The 19,093-nt window shown below is 45.5% G+C and overlaps 1 protein-coding gene and 1 long non-coding RNA gene across 33 annotated transcripts in view, besides 5 other annotated features; one reads left to right on the plus strand and one right to left on the minus strand.

The window, feature by feature from the left end:
• PPFIA1 (PPFI scaffold protein A1) overlaps window positions 1-19,093 on the plus strand; it is a 113,707-nt gene that overhangs the window by 26,191 nt on the left and 68,423 nt on the right. The gene's annotated exons all lie outside the window — the stretch shown is intronic.
• LOC107984346 (uncharacterized) lies at window positions 985-18,092 on the minus strand. The gene is made up of 3 exons (XR_001748288.2): window positions 17,993-18,092; window positions 4,197-4,285; window positions 985-1,202 (listed from the first exon to the last, which is right to left on the minus strand). It is a non-coding gene; the product is annotated as an uncharacterized LOC107984346 (long non-coding RNA).
• Window positions 5,389-5,888: an enhancer, noted in NCBI's record as "H3K4me1 hESC enhancer chr11:70148375-70148874 (GRCh37/hg19 assembly coordinates)". NCBI's record gives its function as "activates a minimal SCP1, AML or CMV promoter by ChIP-STARR-seq in primed H9 embryonic stem cells {active_cell/tissue: H9 hESC(primed)}" and the evidence as "EXISTENCE:reporter gene assay evidence [ECO:0000049][PMID:30033119]".
• Window positions 13,689-14,190: an enhancer, noted in NCBI's record as "H3K27ac hESC enhancer chr11:70156675-70157176 (GRCh37/hg19 assembly coordinates)". NCBI's record gives its function as "activates a minimal SCP1, AML or CMV promoter by ChIP-STARR-seq in naive H9 embryonic stem cells {active_cell/tissue: H9 hESC(naive)}" and the evidence as "EXISTENCE:reporter gene assay evidence [ECO:0000049][PMID:30033119]".
• Window positions 14,799-15,694: an enhancer, noted in NCBI's record as "H3K27ac-H3K4me1 hESC enhancer chr11:70157785-70158680 (GRCh37/hg19 assembly coordinates)". NCBI's record gives its function as "activates a minimal SCP1, AML or CMV promoter by ChIP-STARR-seq in naive H9 embryonic stem cells {active_cell/tissue: H9 hESC(naive)}" and the evidence as "EXISTENCE:reporter gene assay evidence [ECO:0000049][PMID:30033119]".
• Window positions 15,695-16,588: an enhancer, noted in NCBI's record as "H3K27ac-H3K4me1 hESC enhancer chr11:70158681-70159574 (GRCh37/hg19 assembly coordinates)". NCBI's record gives its function as "activates a minimal SCP1, AML or CMV promoter by ChIP-STARR-seq in naive H9 embryonic stem cells {active_cell/tissue: H9 hESC(naive)}" and the evidence as "EXISTENCE:reporter gene assay evidence [ECO:0000049][PMID:30033119]".
• Window positions 16,655-17,171: an enhancer, noted in NCBI's record as "H3K27ac-H3K4me1 hESC enhancer chr11:70159641-70160157 (GRCh37/hg19 assembly coordinates)". NCBI's record gives its function as "activates a minimal SCP1, AML or CMV promoter by ChIP-STARR-seq in naive H9 embryonic stem cells {active_cell/tissue: H9 hESC(naive)}" and the evidence as "EXISTENCE:reporter gene assay evidence [ECO:0000049][PMID:30033119]".

Here is a 19,093-nt window from a genome sequence, read left to right on the forward strand (position 1 = left end):
GGTCTGCGCTGTCCCCTTAGCTCTCCGCTGCTCACTGTGAGACGTGCCTCACAGACTCGTGGTGAAGATAGTTAATTCATGACGCTCTCAGAAGAGAGCCTGGTATTTAATAAGCATTCAATAAATGTTAGTCATTCTTCTGATAGTCATTATTGAATGGGCTAAAGAAGTTTGGTTTTGGCAAAGAATGCTTTTCCCTGTAATTCCCAAAGTTAATTGTGATCAATAGAAAACAAAACCAGAGAGGCCGGGCACGGTGGCTCACGCTTCAGGCTCCCAGCACTTTGGGAGGCTGAGGTGGAAGGATCACTTGAGGCCAGGAGTTCGAGACCAGCCTGAGCAACATAGCAGGACCCTACTTTTACAAAAAATCAAAAAGTTATTTGGGCGTGGTGGTGCGTGCTTGTAGTCCCAGCTACTCAGGAGGCTGAGGCGAGCGGATCGCCTGAACCTAGCAGGTTAAGACTGCAGTGAGCTATGATCATACCACTGTACTCCAGCCTGGGTGACAGCAAGACTTGTCTCTAAAATGAAAAAAAAAGAAAAAATGAAAAAAGATGTAAACAATATGGAAACATATGGTGTCCACAGTAACAGTCTCTCCTTGTACTCAGTGTGTCCACAGTGGGTGTATTGTCTGAAGGGTGCATTCATGTGTGAGAAGAATGGATGAAATTCAAAATTACTCATATTCAAAATATGAGTAATGGGTAAAATAAGCCTGCTAAGTCAAAGGGCTTGTTACACACTACCTGTGTGATCTGCACAGAAAAATTATTGTAAGGATTCTGACTGGGTCACAGTGTCTCTGGGAAGGTGGAGAACCAGGTTTGGAGGACACTGGTTAGCCAGGCCCTGCTAGCCGGGCCCCATTTCCCCGTAATGTCTGTGCTCCGAGGTTGTCACCAGCAGATGCAGGAGAGGCTGGGAGAGCAAGTTTCTGGTGCTTTCAGCCCCTCGTCTGGGCCACTTGCTTTTCCTCAAGAGTGGACCATTTCCCATCCATAGGAAGAGGCTCAGATGCTGGGTGGCCAGCATGCCTGACAAATGGCAACAGCATGATAAAACCCTTGACAGCTGTGCCTCGAGATCTGAAGAGAGCAGTTTCGCATTCGCTTACATGGTGGTGGTAATGCTCCTTCCCTCTAGAATTATCAGGAAAAAATGCCATGTGATTCTCTCCTCTCTGCTCTGACTTTCCTCTAGAAAGAAAAAAGAACACATATTGAATGAAAATCCAAATCAGATGTTTGGGTTTCCTTCCTTCCGTCAACTTTTCTGTTATATCACTGCCCATGTTACTTTTATTCCTGTTCCTGATTATTCCATTTCAAGGAGAAAGGTTCATAAACAAGAAATATTGCCTTTTTGGTTGTGTGTAGTGGGGTGCTGAGCTGAGTGGTAGAAGGCCTATGCAGGAGGCAGTAGTGGGTGGGTAGAATAAAGGTTTTACATCGGAAAGAATCTACATTCCAAGGTTGTTTTCTTGTGCAAACCATAGAAATACTTGTTCCTGAAACAGTTTGATGATGAATTAGGAGACTGCTTAAAAGCACATTCCTGTAGATAGGGTCTGGGTGCTTTTCACAAACCCATGAATGCCTGGCACTTTCTTTTTTGTGTTCCCCAAACTATTTTTACTATAAATGGTTGTTATTAAAAGGCCCAGGTGCTGCCAGGAAGTGACATTTTCTAGAGTGTACCTAGAAGTGTTCATCCCAGAACCTGTTCATTAAAAGACTTCCAGGCTGATCTGTCCCACGGTGCTGGCCTGAAAACATCAGCTGCTGCTCAGAGGGCTTCCCTGGGCTCGGGGAAGAGCTTCCCTGCCTCCCCACCTTAGAGTGCTGGTTCTCCTGTGCTGTGACTCACTATGGGGATTGCTGTTACATTCATCTTTACGATTCTCTTAGAAGTTTACAGTGATACTGCATAAAGAGATACGGACACTTACCATAGTAAGTTACAGTCACTTTTTAAACTGTCAGTAATTTAGAGGGTAAGTGTCTAGATACAGTTATTCTGTCATCATTGAACAATTTTACCATGCCTTTTTATTTAAAGGAACATGTTCTGGGCCGGGCACAGTGGCTCACACCTGTAATCCCAGCACTTTGGGAGGCTGAGGCAGGCGGATCACTTGAGCTCAGGAGTTTGAGACCAGCCTGGGCAACATGGCAAAACCCCGTCTCTACTAAAAACACAAAAATTAGCCAAGCGTGGTGGTGCACACCTGTAGTTCCAGCTATTTGGGAGGCTGAGACAAGAGGATCACTTGAGCCTGGTAGGTTGAGGCTGCAGTGAGCCAAGATTGCACCACTGCACTCCAGCCTGGGCAACAGAGTGAGTCTCCGTCTCAAAAGAAAAGAAAGAAACAGGTTCTGGGTAGGCCTTTTGTTAGCTGCAGCTTTAGAATAAAATGGTTTTCTTTTTCTTACAGGGGTCAGACACCATAGGATAAAATGTTAATACCGTGCTTCTGCTGACATCTCTCTGTTTACTACTCAACACTGGCAGGCATTAGGGATTTCTTTTCATGTTAGGTAAACCCCTGTGAAAAGAATCAAGGGAAAGGTAGCACTTGCTATCCACAAAGATACTGTTCTCGGACAGTTACTTTCATCTGAACAAACCCTCTCCTCGGCCCCTCCAGCAGCCTTTATCGTGGGGTCTTCTTCCCTTCTGGATGCTCCGGGGACCTCAGCCCTGTGTTTTGTGATTGTTTCAGACGTGTCCATTGGGTGTCCTGCTGTCTCTCCTGCCAGAACTGTGCTCTCCTTCCCTTCCAAGTCAGCATTGCCCTCTGCCTCTCATCCAAGCTTCGCTCTTGGCCCCTCTGCTCCCCTGCTGCCACTCAGAGGCTCTGTCAGGGGTTTCTTTCCTGATCCCCCTGATACACACTCGCCTTTGATGTTCTCGTCTCAGAGCCGGGACCTCGGTGCCTGTGGTCCAGGCTGTGCTTCTGCACTCTCCCTTTGGAGTCCACCCAGCACACTTGCCACAGCCACCAGCCTAACCTCAGCCATCGCTTTGGGAGGGTTTGTTCAGTGTCTGTCTAGGCGCAGGAACAGAATCTCGACTTGCTTAGCCCGGCTACCGACTCCGTGTTTTGGCTCCCTCCACCTACCCCACAGATCTCCCTCCATCAGTGCCAGCCATGCCCTCTGCCCCTTCCACCCGCCCCACAGATCTCCCTCCATCAGTGCCAGCCATGCCCTCTGCCCCTTCCACCCGCCCCACAGATCTCCCTCCATCACTGCCAGCCATGCCCTCTGCCCCTTCCCATAGGCCTGGACTCCCTTCTCCTGAGATGTCCCGCAGACTCCTCTTCATTACCATGCGCCCCTCAAAGCCAAAGTCAAGCCTGCATGGTTTCTTCTCACTCCTCATAGGTGCTTTTTCTCCGCCAGTTCCTACTGGGATTCAGGGGCTTGGGGCTGATTTTACTATTTATTCCTTTTATGTTTACTCAAGCTTTTATTTTTTTAATTTTTATTTATTTATTTTGAGACGGAGTCTTTCTCCATCATGCAGGCTGGAGTACAGTGGCCCGATCTGGGCTCACTGCAGCCTCCGTCTCCTGGGTTCAAGCACTTCTCCTGCCTCAGCCTCTCAGTATCTGGGACTATAAGCATGTGCCACCATGCCCACCTAATTTTTTTTTTTTTTTTTGAGATGGAGTCTCGCTCTGTCGCCCAGGCTGGAGTGCAGTGGCGTGATCTCGGCCCTCTGCCAGCTCCCCTCCTGGTTTCATGCCATTCTCCTGCCTCAGCCTCCCAAGTAGCTGGGACTACAGGCGCCCGCCACCACGCCCAGCTAATTTTATGTATTTTTAGTAGAGACAGGGTTTCACCATGTTGGCCAGGATGGTCTCGATCTCCTGATCTTGTGATCCGCCCGCCTTGGCCTCCCAAAGTGCTGGGATTACAGGCATGAGCCACCGCGCCCGGCCTACTCCAACTTTTAAAATGCTACCGGCTTTAAGAAAAACACAGATGAAATATTAGGATCAAGATAAGCCATGAGGGGGCAAAAGAAACCACCAAAAGATACCCTGGGAGGTGAGGCCAGCATGATTCTCTCCATTTAAGGTCATGGGTTTACTGTGTAAACAGGCCCTTCATTTTTACTAACTGCTGCAATGGCAGTCTGTTGTTTTCTGCCCAGTCACTCCTTGTTCCCTCTCGCCTACATACCTGTTAGAAGTTTTGGGTCCTCTGCGTACCAATTTTCTGATCTTGGCCAAGATAGTTCACCTCTAAGACTGTTTTGCCATCTATAAAATCTGTAAAATAGAGATACTACTTATTACCCAATAAGTAGACTTGATGAGAACTAACATAAAGTATCTACCATGCTAGCCTGCACAAAGTAGACATTCATTTGATGTGAGGCATGTCTCTGCAAACCACTCAACACAGCCCCCAACACAGGGAAGATGGAGAGAACTCAGCTTCCCTGCGCACTTGGTTTTGGTCCTCACCATGGTATCTTCCCCTGAAGATAACATCTGCATTGGGCTGCGAGTCCCAAGCCACTTACTAGCTGAGTGACCTTTGTACCTCTCTAATCTGCCTGGGTCTGTATTCTAATTTGTAAAATAAGGTAATTATGAGTGCCTTACTGGGTTGCTGAGAGTAAAATGTGATAAAATATATGAAAGTATTTTGAAAATCATAAGGCATTAGACAAATATAGTTATTGCAGTTTACATCTTTTGAGTACCTAGCATATAGCACCTTAGAAATATTTTTTTGTTCAGGAAAGTGCTTGAATTAATAGGGGTACTTGTTCTTAAGCTTATATGTCTATTTAGTAAGCTTAATAGAACCACAGAGAGGAAATTCTTAATAAAGGACCTTCGTTTACAGTTGTGTATCTGAATCTTTGGCTCATTTTGAGATGCCTTCTTGTTAAAGTAGAGGGTGAAACCATTCATAGAGCTCTCGTCAGACTGCTTTGCCAGACGCAGTACGCAGCACATGAATGTTTCACGGGACCACCGTGCAGTAATGTGAGCTGTCAGTATTACTCAGTTAATTCCATATGCAGTGACCGTGTGAACATGGCTGCTTTGCTCGGTTCCTTGTTGTGGCTTGGGGTTTTAACAGTGATGGGCACAGCCTTTCAGCTGGGAAGCATGGAGTCTAAGTGGACTCACGAAAGTGCAGTGAAGCGGTGGCTGTGCAGTGGCACAGTAGACAGAATCCAGCATAGCACAGGAAAGGAGCTGGCCAGGTTGCCCTCAGGGGCCAGAAGAGCCTTCCCAGAGGAGGGGGAATGGTTGAACTGAGGGTTGTGAGGTCCCATTCAGCATCAAGGGGATCGTGGGGATGGCAGCAGTGGGAAGAGAGGCTCGATTGGAGGAGGGAGCAGCCAGCAGCTTCGTAGGGTGGGGCAGCCACACTGGTCCTTAGAGGGGATGCTTCCCCAGGGAGCAGTGGGAGAAGGGTGGCTGACCAGGAAACAGGAAAGGCATGGAGGGCTGTGAGCTCACAGGAAGGTGGCTATCCAGGGCTGGAGTGCATTCTCTGAGAGCCTCGTGGGAGGATGGAGATGGGCAGTGGAGTCTGGGCGGGCAGAGGGAGCACACTGCGGCAACAGAGCTGTGAGCTGGAGACAGGGCACTTGAGACGCTTCCTTGGTTGACAATAAACCCTTTCTTTTTATCATTTCTGCCAGTCAGTTATGTCGTTTTCTGGTAGGCAATGTCATGCTTGTTAAGAAAACTGCATGAGACAGAATCAAAAGCTTTAACAAGTCCATTTATATTTATACATTCAGCCTTAGCTGTATGGTCTCGAACACTAGAGTGTTGTGTTTTCTTGACTCATCAGCAGAATATCAGGAATGTAAATGTAAATGTAGCCGTAGATACTCTCAACACCATTTTTTTTTTTTTTTTTTTTAAAGACATGTGATCCCAGTATGTTGCCCAGGCTGATCTTGAACTCCTGGGCTCAAGCAATCCTCCTGCCTCGGTGTCCCAAGTAGCTGGGACTACATTTGTGCCACCACACCACAGGAAGAAATCCCTAATAAGGCGTCTTTCAGTTACAGCTTTATACGTAGACCTTTGATTCCTCTGAGATACCTGTTTATTAAATTAGCAAACTTCCCAATTTTGACCTGACATCTCTAAGACCATGTCACAGGCTGAAAGGAAAGTGGCAGCCCAGTTTTCCTTGGTCTTGCGTATGCTGAGGCTTGAGTTTTCAGTTGTGGTCTCCCATGTCTGTTAAAACACTGGCCAGCGTTCTCAGTTGGCGTACCTTGCATTCTTTCAGCATTGCACTGTGGTTCTAGACCCCGGTCTGACGCAGTGTCGGGCAGCCCTACCGCGTGTTCGAGTGCTGCTCTTCGGTAGCACTTGGTCTAGCAGAATATACCGAGTCCTGTCTGCAGAACCTTGACAAGTCTTGGAAAGCGGTCTCAGAATGCTTACTCACACACATCTGGGACATTTCCAATTTAATAAATGTCACGGAAAAAGTTTGGCAGATTGTTTAATTACATGTAAAAGCTGCTTGTGGCTTTCCTTGCTAATATGAGCCTGAAAAATGCTAACTACAATTGTTATGAAATCAGGGAAAGCTTGTGCATACCCTAAGGTTTTTCTGGAGAATTGCTTACCTGTGAACTCTAAAGCCATTCCTGAGCGGTGCCAAGTGTGATATTGTAGCATAAGAAGAGATGTACATTTGGTCTGTGCCCTGGCCCCTGGCACAGAGCTTCTCAAGCTCCTGGACTCTCTGGAGTACTGAGAGTGTCCTTATGTGCTGATCAGGTGACTGGTGACTGGCTACCCCCTAGGTAGCCTCAAGGTAAGGACTGGTAACTGGAGGCCTGGCACGGTGGCTCATGCCTATAATCCCAGCACTCTGGGAGGCTGAGGCAGGCGGATCACTTGAGGTCAGGAGTTCAGGAGCAGCCTGGCCAACATGGTGAAACCCCGTCTCTACTAAAAATACAAAAATTAGCCAGGCGTGGTGGTGTGTGCCTGTAATCCCAGCTACTCCGGAGGCTGAGGCAGGAGAATCACTTGAACCCAGGAGGCGGAGGTTGCGGTGAGCTGAGATCGCGCCACTGCACTCCAGCCTGGGAGATAGCGAGACTTCGTCTCAAAAAAAGAAAAGACAAAAAAAAAAGAAAAAAGGAGTGGTCACTGGAAAGACCTAGGCAGGATTAGAGGGTTAGGACTTTGAGCTCCATGCCCTAGCTTCTGTTTGAAGGTTGGGTTATCCAGTGGCCAATGATGTTAATCAGTCATGCCTATGTAACAAAGCCTAAAACCCTAAAAGGATAGGATTCTGGGGGCTCTGGGTTCCTGAACATGTAGCAGTTTCTGGAGGGTAGTGCCCTCAGAGGGCATGGAAGCTCTGCACCCCTTCCCACATACTTTGCCCTGTGCATCTCTCCTTCTGCTGTTCACCTGGGTCCTTTGTGATAGCCTTTAAAAAAAAAAAAATTAGAGATGGGATCTCACTATGTTGCCCAGGCTGGTCTCAAATTCCTGGCCTTAAGCAGCCCTCCCGTCTTAGCCTCCCAAAGTGCTGGGATTACAGATGTGAGCCAACATGCTCAGCCTGTGATATCCTTTATAATACATGGGTAAATGTAAGTAAAGTGCTCCTCTGAGTTCTGTGAGCTGCTGCAGCAAATTTAATTGAACCCGAGAAGGGTATCATGGGAACCCTGATTCATAGCTGGTTGGTCAGAAGCACAGGTCACAACCTGGGACTTGTACTTGGCACCTGCAAAGGACTGGGGGAGTGGTCTTGTGGGACTGAGCCTTACCCTGTGGGATTGATACACTCTCCAGCTGGACAGTGCAGAATTGCATGGAATTAGAGGCACACAGCTGCAGAACTGCATGGAATTAGAGGCACACAGCGGCAGAATTGCTTTACACCCCCGACATCTGGTGTCAGCAGTGGTGGTGTGTGTGGAAGTAGGGAAAACACTTTGATTTTTCCTATCCTCATTAGCCAGGGAGGTCAGCACCCCCTCATTTTACTAGAGAAGTGGGGATGTTAATCAAGTGCCCTGCCCTTCTCAAGTTCAAGGTGCCTGAGACACTGGCACCCCTCCTGTCACCTGCATATATTTACTTCATGTTTTGATTGTCCCATCACTGCCAGCATCACCAGGCATGACCACCGTGTTCCAGAGCATGGTGGCAGTTTGTGAGTGACAGAGTGGCAGCCAGTGGCCTAGTGTCCCGCAGGCAGAGCAGACTCTTTGTTTCTCCAAGGCAAGGATGTGGCAGTGCCACCAAATGGTCGTGTCAATTGATGCCCAAATGGCTCACCAAAAGCTGAGTGACAGTTGCCACAGCAAAAAAAGGGGAGAAAACATAGGTTCAGAATTTCTTGGAAATGTTTGAAATGCATGTGATAGAACTCTAGGTGGGAAATTGGCTTGTTAGATACAGTAACTTAGCATGCAACTAGAGTAAACAGTTTGACCTACCAACCCACCGACTCATCTGTTTATTTTACTTCTTTTTTTTTGAGACAAGGTCTCACTCTGGCCAAGCTGGAGTGCAATGGCATGATCACGGCTCCTGCAGCCTCGACCTCCTGGGCTTAAGCGATCCTCTCACCACAGCCTCCTAAGTAACTGGGACTGCAGAGGCACACCACCACGCCTGGCTATTTTTTTAATTTTTGTAGAGATGGGTTTTCACCCTGCTGCCTGGGCTGGTCTCGAACTCCTGAGGTCAAGCAGTCTGCCTGCCTCAGCTCCCAAAGTGTTGGGATTGCAGACGTGAGCCCCTGAGGCTGGCCCCATTTGTTTGTTCTAATAAAAATGTAGGACTGAATTTGACTCACAGTTGACTAATTTACATTCTAAAGTGGCCAGAAAACTTCTATTGGTAGTTTCCTTCATAGGAAAATTGGGAGGTTCTCACTCAAAATTGGCTTATATTTGGGCATATGTTAGGATACATGTAATGTTTAAGTAAAAGTAATACTTTGAATATCAAGCTAACTAGTGATAAGTTTATGGTTATTTATACTGTTAGGTAATAGGGTATTTTAATCTACCCCTTATTGCCATGGGGAGGTTTAAAAAAGCAAAATTCAAAACGGAGAAATTGTGCTGACATTTGAACAAAATAAATGGATTATTTTTCAAGTAATGTTTTGTTTTTAGAAATAGTAAGGCAGCCCTCATTTTGCATGGTGGTACTGTGGGACTAGAAAAATGGCCTTTTGGGGCAAACTGGTGCAAAGTGACCTTTTTCTTTTGGAGTAAAACATGCACGCACACATGCACGCTTACTTGCGAAGCAATCTTAATCGTCAATGGAGAAATGGATTGCTTGTGATCTTTAATTTTTTTTTTTGTTAAGGCACAAAAATCTCTTACTGTAAATTGTAAACGTATAGGGGAGTGACAAGCAGTAAAACATTGATTAAATACACTGTAATTTATAACATTAAAAACATTGATAGTTAAAGTACGTAACCCTTTGACGCAGCAGGTTCATTTCTAAGTGGATAGCTTAGAGCAATCTGGTGTCTCCTTTTAATAGTATTTTAAATTATAATTTTTATCATAAAATGACATTCATAAAAAAACCCTACCTAAACACATAATTTTAGAAAAATCAATACAATGCCTCAATTGTGATGTAAAATAAATAAGGGGAAATTAGTTTACAGTAAAATGTTTTGTTGTATAAATGCTTGGGCATGACAACCCTAGAAGGCATAAGGCCCGATGTGTGTACTTTCTGATAACGAATGTTTGGCTTTAAGAGAAGATTGTCAGAAGCTATTACAAAGAAGAATATAGCAACACAAAAGAAGAGGTGACTCTGCTGGATAAAAATGTGTTAGGATAGGTAAAAGCAGACCAGTCATTTATACGTAATAAGAGAAAAGGTAAATAATGAAGTTAGAGATAACATGCCATTCATATTATAGATTGTCACCTGGAGAAAATGAGGAAGTATTATAATCTCACAAAAAAACCCCTGAGCCTTCTTTGTTTCCAGTGAAACGTCAGAATCCTTCCCTGGGTCATGACAGACTCAGAGGAGCAACAGGGTATCACAGAAAACATATTGCTTCCCACCTCTCCCAGCAGATGGCCAGACATGCACCCAGTTGAGTACATGAAGAGATTTTGGAGATTCCTGTATGATAGGCAATGGCGAATGGAGAATGGATCTGAAAAAAGGGAAAATTAACCTCAAGGTTTAATAACACACCAGGGTGGTAAGCCACAAGGAAACAAGCATTTTATTATGTTGCTGGCCTACTGGGGATAATTTCGCAGTATCTTTTAAATTACAAATTCCCTTTGACCCAGAAATTCTAAGGTTTTATCTTACTGGTATAGATGCACAGGTATAGAATGATGTATTTACAAGGTTATTCATTGCCATATTATTTGTAATCGCAAAAGATTGGAAGCAGGAACATAAACCTCATCAGTAGTTGAACAGTTAAATTATGATTCATATTCTTTGTATGCCAGGAAGCTGTAAAAAGGGAGGAGGATGTTATGCACCGATATGGAAATATCCTTAACTGAAGAAAAGCAAGGGCGAAAGAATAGATTTGCTCATATATGCATTAAAAAATCTCTAGATAAACAGGAAAGGCACAACTTTAGTTACCTACTGTGTGGAAGAGTGAACAGGGCTGAAAGGGAGATTTCTCTATATACACCTTTATTACTGATCCAAAAAAATTAAGTACTTTTTCTAAAGGTGTGTGTAAAAAAAAAGAAAGAAAAAGGTCTGTTAGGCTGGGTGTGATCGCCCCTGTAGTCCTAGCACTTTGGGAAGCCATGGCAGGAGGATCCCTTGAGCCAGGAGTTCAAGACCAACCTGGGCAACATAGACAGACCTTACCTCTACAAAAAAAATTTTTTTTTAAATTAGCTGGGCATGATGGTGTGCACCTGTGGTCCCAGCTACTTAGGAGGCTGAAGTGGGAGGATTGGTTGAGTATGGGTGTTCAGGGCTCCAGTGAGCCATGGTTACAGCACGGCACTCCAGCCTGGGAAACAGAACAAGACTTTGTCTCCAAAAGCAAAGAAAAAAGCTCTGTCCTAATCCCCTTTCCTTTGCTGCTGCTACCACTGTTTTTAAACCTTGTTAGGGCCAAAATGTATTTAGAAATATGGGTTATACACTGACCTTAGTGATGGCTTATTTATTTATTTTGAGATGGAGTTTTGCTCTTGTTGCCTAGGCTGGAGTGCAATGGTGCGATCTCGGCTCACCGCAACCTTCGCCTCCTGGGATCAAGCGATTCTCCTCTGTCAGCCTCCTGAGTAGCTGGGATTACAGGCATGTGCCGCCACGGCCAGCTAATTTTGTATTTTTAGCAGAGACGGGGTTTCTCCATGTTGGTCAGGCTGGTCTCAAACTCCCGACCTCAAGTGATCTGCCTACCTTAGCCTCCCAAAGTGCTGGGATTACAGGTGTGAGCCACCACGCCTGGCCAGTGATGGCTTTAGACTGTCAAGTTCAAACAGGCATTTTCTGATTTCATGCTTTGAAGACAGTTTATGATTCATTGATTTTTTGGCACATGCATAGGTCTATTAAATATTTGAAATTGAAAAATATTTTATATTCCTGTAAGCATGATCAATGCCAAAAGTCACATACTTGCTCTATTGGGAACTTTGAAAAATACTATAAATATAAACTGGATGTCATATGTTTGTATTTTGTTATTTTCTAGTGTTTTAAATGTATCCGAAACTCTTAAGTGAATATTCTTTTAAAAAATTGATCGCAGAGGCTGGGCGCAGTGGCTCATGCCTGTAATCCCAGCATTTTGGGAGGTCAAGGTGGGAGGTTTGCTTGAGGCCAGGAGTTCAAGACCAGTCTGGGCAACATAACATCTCTTAAAAAAACAAAACAAAACAAAACAAAAAAACCCAACTTGAACATTGTGGTGCACGTCTGTAGTCCTAGCTACTTGGGAGGCTGAACCTAGGAGTTGGAGGCTGCAGTGAGCTATGATTGTGCCACTTCACTTCAGTCTGGGTGACAGGGCGAGACTCTCTCGAAGAGATAAACAAATGTAAGAATAAAAAGGTGATTGTAGAAGGCTTTCATTTCTGTTGGAATCAAGGGTTTCTGCCCTTTATTTATTTTTATTTTGTTGGTTTGATTCTGCCCCTCCCCTCAGGCTGTTTAAACATGTTAATTAGAATGTATTTTCTTTGGGTTTTTTTTTACTAATATATACTTGAATTCTGAAGTATATGAAATATACATTCTCAGTAATATTTCAGGTTGTTTTGAAACATACATGCTAACTTTTTTTTTTTTGAAATGGAGTCTTGCTCTGTCACCCAGGCTGGAGTGCAGTGGCGCGATCTCTGCCGACCGCAACCTCCGCCTCTCGGGTTCAAGCGATTCTCCTGCCTCAGCCTCCCGAGTAGCTGGGATTACAGGCATGTGCCACCACACCTGGCTAATTTGTATTTTTAGTAGAGACGGGGGTTTCTCCATGTCAGTCAAGCTGGTCTCGAACTTGCGACCTCAGGTGATCTGCCCGCCTTGGCCTCCCAAAGTGCTGGGTTTACAGGCATGAGCCACCATGCCTGGCTGCTAATATTTTTAATTGTCTTGCTTGCTTATTCTATGCAATTATATGTGTTTAAGTATTGAAATGCTAACAACAACCAAAGATAGTTTGGTTTGCTCTTAGCAGAATGATAAAAGTACAGGAAGCAAAACTTAGAAACTCCCATGAAAAAATCCCAGTTTTGCCTAAAAAAAAAAAAGTTTTCCAAAAAATAAAAAGGAATAAAAAGGAGTGGAGCTACCATATGCTACAACATGTCCGACCCTTGAAAATACTATGCCAAGTGAAAGAAGCCAGGCACAAAAAGCCACATAGTGTATGATTCCATTCCTGTGAAATGTCCGAAACAGGCAGATACACAGAGACAGAAAGCAGATTGGTGGGTGCCTAGGGCGGAGAGGGGAGGGAGGGTCGGTGGTGATTGCTGATAGGTATGGGGTTTTTTTGGGGGGTGACGAAAATGTTTTGAATTAGATAGTGGTAATGGTAACACAGCATTGTGAATATACTAAAAACCACTGAATTGTACACTTAAAATGGTTAGGATGGAGAATTTTATGTGACCTTTATCTTGACAAAAATTTTAAAACATAAAAGCAGTATGGTCATAAATTTTTTGAATGTATATTCACATCAGTATTTCAGTTACTATGAAGTAATGCAACTCCCTTCAGAGTCAAAACAAAAAACAAGTTAAATCATTAAGGATAATATAGTTTCAGAGCTGACGGACCAGATGGATTATAAATTGTGTTTATTATAAAGTGGCTGGCAATGCCACTGTAGCTGGTGAAGAGACCACGTCTTGAATTAAGGTTTCTCAGGTTTGACCTTCAGTGATACTGATTTGACATTTAGAAACACACAAATGCACCCTCCTTAGTTGCTAAGCCAGAAGTTAAGAGAGAGGCACAGTGCATTTTTATTTCATCCATGTACTTTTTTTTTTTTTTTTTTTGAGACGGAGTCTTGCTCTGTCGACAGGCTGGAGGGCAGTGGGGCAATCTTGGCTCACTGCAACCTCTGCCTCCTGGGTTCAAGCGATTCTCTTGCCTCAGCCTCCCGAGTAGCTGGGACTACAGGTGCGCGCCACCACGCCCAGTTAATTTTGGTATTTTTAGTAGAGATGGGGTTTCACCATGTTGGCCAGAATGATGTCCATCTCTTGACCCCGTGATCCGCCTGCCTCAGCTTCCCAAGGTTCTGGGATTACAGGCGTGAGCCACCACACCCGGCCCCATGTACTTTTCTAAAAGCACTAAGGGCTTTTTTCCTCTTTTTCTCTTCCAAATGAAAACCCCACTCTGTTTTTGTTAAGTTCAAGCTGCGGTTGGTAGTGGTGAGCTCCTTGTCATTTAACGGAGACTGAACGAGTTCTGGAAGACAGGACCAGGTTTGAGGGCTAAGTGCTGTTTGCCGTCCATCCACAGGCCAAGGACCCAGTATCGGGAGAGCAGAGAGGCCGAGGACACACTGGTTCTTAGGAGCGCTCAAGGTTGTTCACCCTTGGGAGCAGTTTGTGAGCAGTGAAGGCAGGAAGGCAGGCCGTGAGCACCCAGGAAGCAAAGGCAGAGAATGCAGACATTCTTGGAGGATTTTTGTTAGCAAAGATAAAGGCTTCGGGAGGCCGAGGTGGGCGGATCACCTGAGGTCGGGAGTTCGAGACCAGCCTGACCAACATGGAAAAACCCCGTCTCTACTAAAAATACAAAATTAGCCAGGCGTGGTGGTGCATGCCTGTAATCCCAGGTACTCCGGAGGCTGAGGCAGGAGAATCGCTGAACCTGGAAGGTGGAGGTTGTGGTGAGCCGAGATTGGGCCATTGCACCCCAGCCTGGACAGCAAGAGTGAAACTCCATCTCAAAAAAAAAAAAAAGATAAAGGCAGGTGCAGGGTAGGCTAGAAATCCAGAAAGTTGTCCATAGACTGACAGTGATGAGGGCGTGTGTGATCATTTTCCACTTCATGCGTCGGAATGCACACAACTGCTTTCTTCAAACTGTTAACAGTACTGCTAAGAACTGAATTAACAGTTGAGATATTAAGTAACTTTATTTTAGCCATGTGGCAAAAATCAACCAGTCCATCACAGGCCAAGGATTTGCATTTGAGGAGCAGACAGAGAGGAGGTGTTAATGTGGAAGGGGCTGCGGGACACCTGTCGAGCTGCTCTCCTGGGTTAGAGGGCTGGTGGCGATACTGCCTTTCAGTTGAATGGCACTTTTGATGGTTTTCCCATTTGATTGTTACGGTTGTGGACCATGGGTAGAGTGTAGCTGTCTTTGCACACATTTTGTGGATACATAAACCAAGAGGAATAATAACTTAAGTGACATGTTTGAGGTTGGAAGGGTCAGTTTGTTTCAAACATGGAAGGACAGTGAGTCAGCTTTTTTTTTTTTTTTTTTTTTTTTTTGAGGCAGGGTTCACCTTGTCACCCAGGCTGGAATAGAGTGGTGTAGACACAGCTCACTGCAGCTTCAACCTCCTGGACTCAAGCAGTCCTCACACCTAACCTCCCGAGCAGCAGGGACTACAGGCATGCACCACCACGCCTGGCTATTTTCTATATTTCTATTTTAGAGATGGGGTTTCACCATGTTGCCCAGGCTGCTCGAACTCCTGGGCTCAAGTGATCCTGCCTGCCTCAGCTTCTCAAAGTGCAGGGATTACAAGCGTGAGCCACCACTCCTGGCCGTGAATTAGCATTTTGTTGTCTTTTTTTATTTGTTTTGAGACAGGGTCTCAAAACAGCCTTGAGCACTGTTGCCCTGGGCACTGTTGCCCAGGCTGGAGTGCAGTAGTGTGATCATAGCTCACTGCAGCCTTGACTTCCTGGGCTCAAGTGAGGCTCCCACGTCAGCCCGCAAAGTAGCTGGGAATACAGGTGCGCACCACCACACCTGGATCATTTTTGTATTTTTGGGAGGGACCAGGTTTCACCATGTTGCTTGGGTTGGTCTCAAACTCCTGGCCTCAAATGATCCTCCCACCCGAGCCCCCCAAAGTGCTGGGATTACAGGCAGGAGCCGCTATGCCTAGCTAGCGAATTAGCATTTAAAAAATATATACTTCCTGGTTCCCCCTACAGGAGTGTTGATTCAGCAAGGTGAGGCCCAGGAGTCTGCATTTGAATCAGCTCCACAGGTGGTTACTGTGCAGCCAGTCTGTACTTCCCGTCTTGCCTGTGCCGCCTCAACATCGTGGAGCCTGCGTGTTTTGCTAACTCGAGAGCCCAGGTGTGCAGTGCATTATTTTTCCTGATAGGCAGCATTCTGGTTTTGTGAATGGGTGTGCCTTTGGTTCCATTGCCATCATCTGGGCTGCGGACATTGACTGGGTTCCCCCTGGGTGCCCAGCACTTTGTCACAGGTCTGGGCTTCTGCTTTTCAGAGTAGAGTGGGGAAGACAGCTGGACATGCAGCCGGGAAGTGAGGAATGCCGGGGCTGGGGGCGGGTGTGACCACCTAGCAAGGGGACCTGTCCATGCCCACGTGGGAAGTAGAGGAGGCCTCTGCAGGAAATGGCCTCAAGCTGTGAACATCAGGTAAGTGGGAGCTGGTCAGGGAAAAGTGGCAGCTTCAGAGGTCAGAGGGAACAACCGTGGTGTGGAGGGCCAGCAGAGGAACAGACGGCATGTTGAGCGAGCTGTAGATTGCTGTGACCGATGTGCTGTGAGGCATGAGGTGAGGAGGGAGACGCTGGAGTCAGAATGGGCGGAGCTGACTTCTAGAGCGGCCACTCTGACCTCTCTTCTGTGTGCTCATGGTGTCACCTGATAGAGTATCAAGGTCTGGATGAGACAATCCATGTTAAGTGCTTAGAACAATGTCTGGCAGATAATGCAACAGAAGTGTGTGTTATGACTTCTCATTTGGGTTAGAAGTTATTAGGGGGGCTTTGGGCTTGACCTTAAGGGCAATGGGAAGTTACTGAAGGATTTTAAGCAGGAAAGTCAGAGTCTGATTTGTTTCGGAAAACATAGAGAATGGATCCGAGCGGGGAAAGATTGAAGGCAGGGATGAGTTAGGCAGCTTTTTTAGTAGACCAAGGAGACACAGTGGCTTGGATAAAGGAAGCTGGGGCGAGGAGGTAGAGGAGTGGGCAGTTCTAGAAGATATGTGTGTGAGGGCGAATGAGGGGTCCTCAGCCAGTGGTTACTGTGGAGGAGGAGGCGATGTGATGTCTCAGTGTCTGACTTGGACAACTGGATGCTGATGTCCACTGCGTGAGAGCTTATGAGGAGTTGGGAGCTTGGGCAGGAAGATGATGATGAGCTCAGTGTGGACAAAGGTTTTTGAACCTCCAAGATATCTTGCCTGTAATCCCAGCACTTTGGGAGGTGGAGGCAGGAGGATCACTTGAGCCCAGGAGTTTGAGGCCAGCCTGGACAACATGACAAACCCCCATCTCTCCAGAAAATTAGCTGGGCATGGTGGCGCATGCCTGTGGTCCCAGATACTTGGGAGACTGAGGCAGGAGAATCACCTGAGCCTAGGAAGTCAAGGTTTCAGTGAGCCGTGATTGCCCCACTGCACTCCAGCCTGGATGAGAGATTGAGGTCGTGTCTCAAATAGAAATTTTAAAAAGTGCGGTTGGGCATTTGCCTAGGGTAGGTGATTGAAGCCACGGACACCGGCCGGATCAGGCAGGCACACTGCATAGGGTGAGCAGCAGACCGGAAATGTGGAACCCCAGGAGCACCAGCATTCTGTGAATAGACAGACAGGAAACAGGGTGAGGTGAAGAGATGGGGGTGAACAGTCAGAGGCTACCCAGTAGATGAGGACTGGAGCTGGCCTTTGGGTTTAGCAGAGGAGAGGTGGTGAGTGCCATGAAAGCAGCAGGCGCTGGAGACAATTGCAGTGGTGAGTAAGGGGCCAGGAAACAGAACTGAAGACCGAGACAACCCAGGCTGGGGAAAAGTTTCTGAACAAGTTACGTGTCCATGTGGACACCGTGTATTCTGGTCATGTCCTTGGGTTTAGCATTGTTTAGAAAGACAGAAAGGAGGACTGATCTTTTTTGTTTTTAATACTAAGCAATACAGACTTAAAAATTAAAACAAAAAAAAATTATCTTACTTCCAACTCTCATTCCCAACTGTAGTGGGTAACCAGCATCAGCAGCTTGGTGTGTATCTTTCTATATTTTATCTTATATATACTTGAAAAATACATAAAAGCGTGTGTTTGCTTTTAACCAAATAGGATCATATGGAAATGCGGTTCTGTACTATGTTTTTTTAACTCAATATTTATGTGGTCCCTAAATACTAGGTTTGGGCATACATTTTTTCAGCATGTATTTCTTAAAGAGAAACTGACAGGGAAAATAAATAAGATATTGTATTAGTCCGTTCTCACACCGCTATGAAAAAATACCAAGACTGGGTAATTCATAAAGGAAAGGTTTAATTGACTCACAGTTCCGCATGGCTGGGGAGGCCTCAGGAAAGTTACAGTCACAGGGGAAGGCAAAGGAGAAGCAGGCACCTTTTTCACTGGGCGGCAGGACGGAGTGCATGCAAGCAGGGGAAATGCCAGACACTTATAAAATCATCAGATCTCGTGAGACTCACTCACTATCACGAGAACGGCATGGGGTAACCGCCCTCATGATCCAGTTACCTCCACCTGGTCCTGCCCTCAACACATGGGAATTAGGGGATTATAATTCGAGATTTTGGGTGGCTTCACAGCCGTATCAGATATATTGGAACTTTAAAAATGTTTATGTAATCTGTTATACGCAAATATTGTCCAGTGATTGAAAAGCCAGTGCTACTTCAGTCACAGTGGCTTTGAACATGTTTAGAATTCAGTGAGATGATGAGACCAAATTTTTATAAAATTTATAAAAATGTGAAGTTTGTGGTCTTCTTTTCTAGTGTCCTCCTGTCCCCCTTTTATCATTAGGAGTGGTGCACCCTGCCATCTATCTATGGACTGACGGGCAGATAGATATAGATGTTTATTAGCATACTTTTAATCGTGGCACCAGGGTTTCAAAACATGATTTGCTCATTCATTTTAATATATAAACTTCTAATTTTCTTTATTTCAAATTTGACATGCTTTTAAACCTAGACTGAGGCGAGTAGCTTCTACTGCCTGAAGATCACAGTGTGAGCTCTGCATGCCGGTTTCTCATGTCCTTGTGTCCATTTATTAGACGTCTTTTTGACTGAGAAGACACAAGACTTTGCCTTCTGTGAAGTTCTTTTTTTCTGTTTTTTTTTTTTTTTTTTTTTTTTTGGTGGTAAAATACATGTAAGATAAAAATACCATCATAACCATTTTTAAGCACCCAGTTCACGGCATTAAGTATATTCACATTGTTGTGCAACCATTACTGCCACACATTTCCAGAACTTCCTCATCTTCCCAAACCGAAACTCCATCCCCATTAAACACCAACTCCCTATCTCACCCTCCCCACCCAGCGTTGTCCAGACACCTACCATTCTATTTTCTATCTCTATGAGTTTGACTGCTCTAGAGACCTCATATAAGTGGAATTCTACA

Source organism: Homo sapiens, chromosome 11 (genome assembly GCF_000001405.40).
Source record: "Homo sapiens chromosome 11, GRCh38.p14 Primary Assembly".
NCBI lineage: Eukaryota > Metazoa > Chordata > Mammalia > Primates > Hominidae > Homo > Homo sapiens.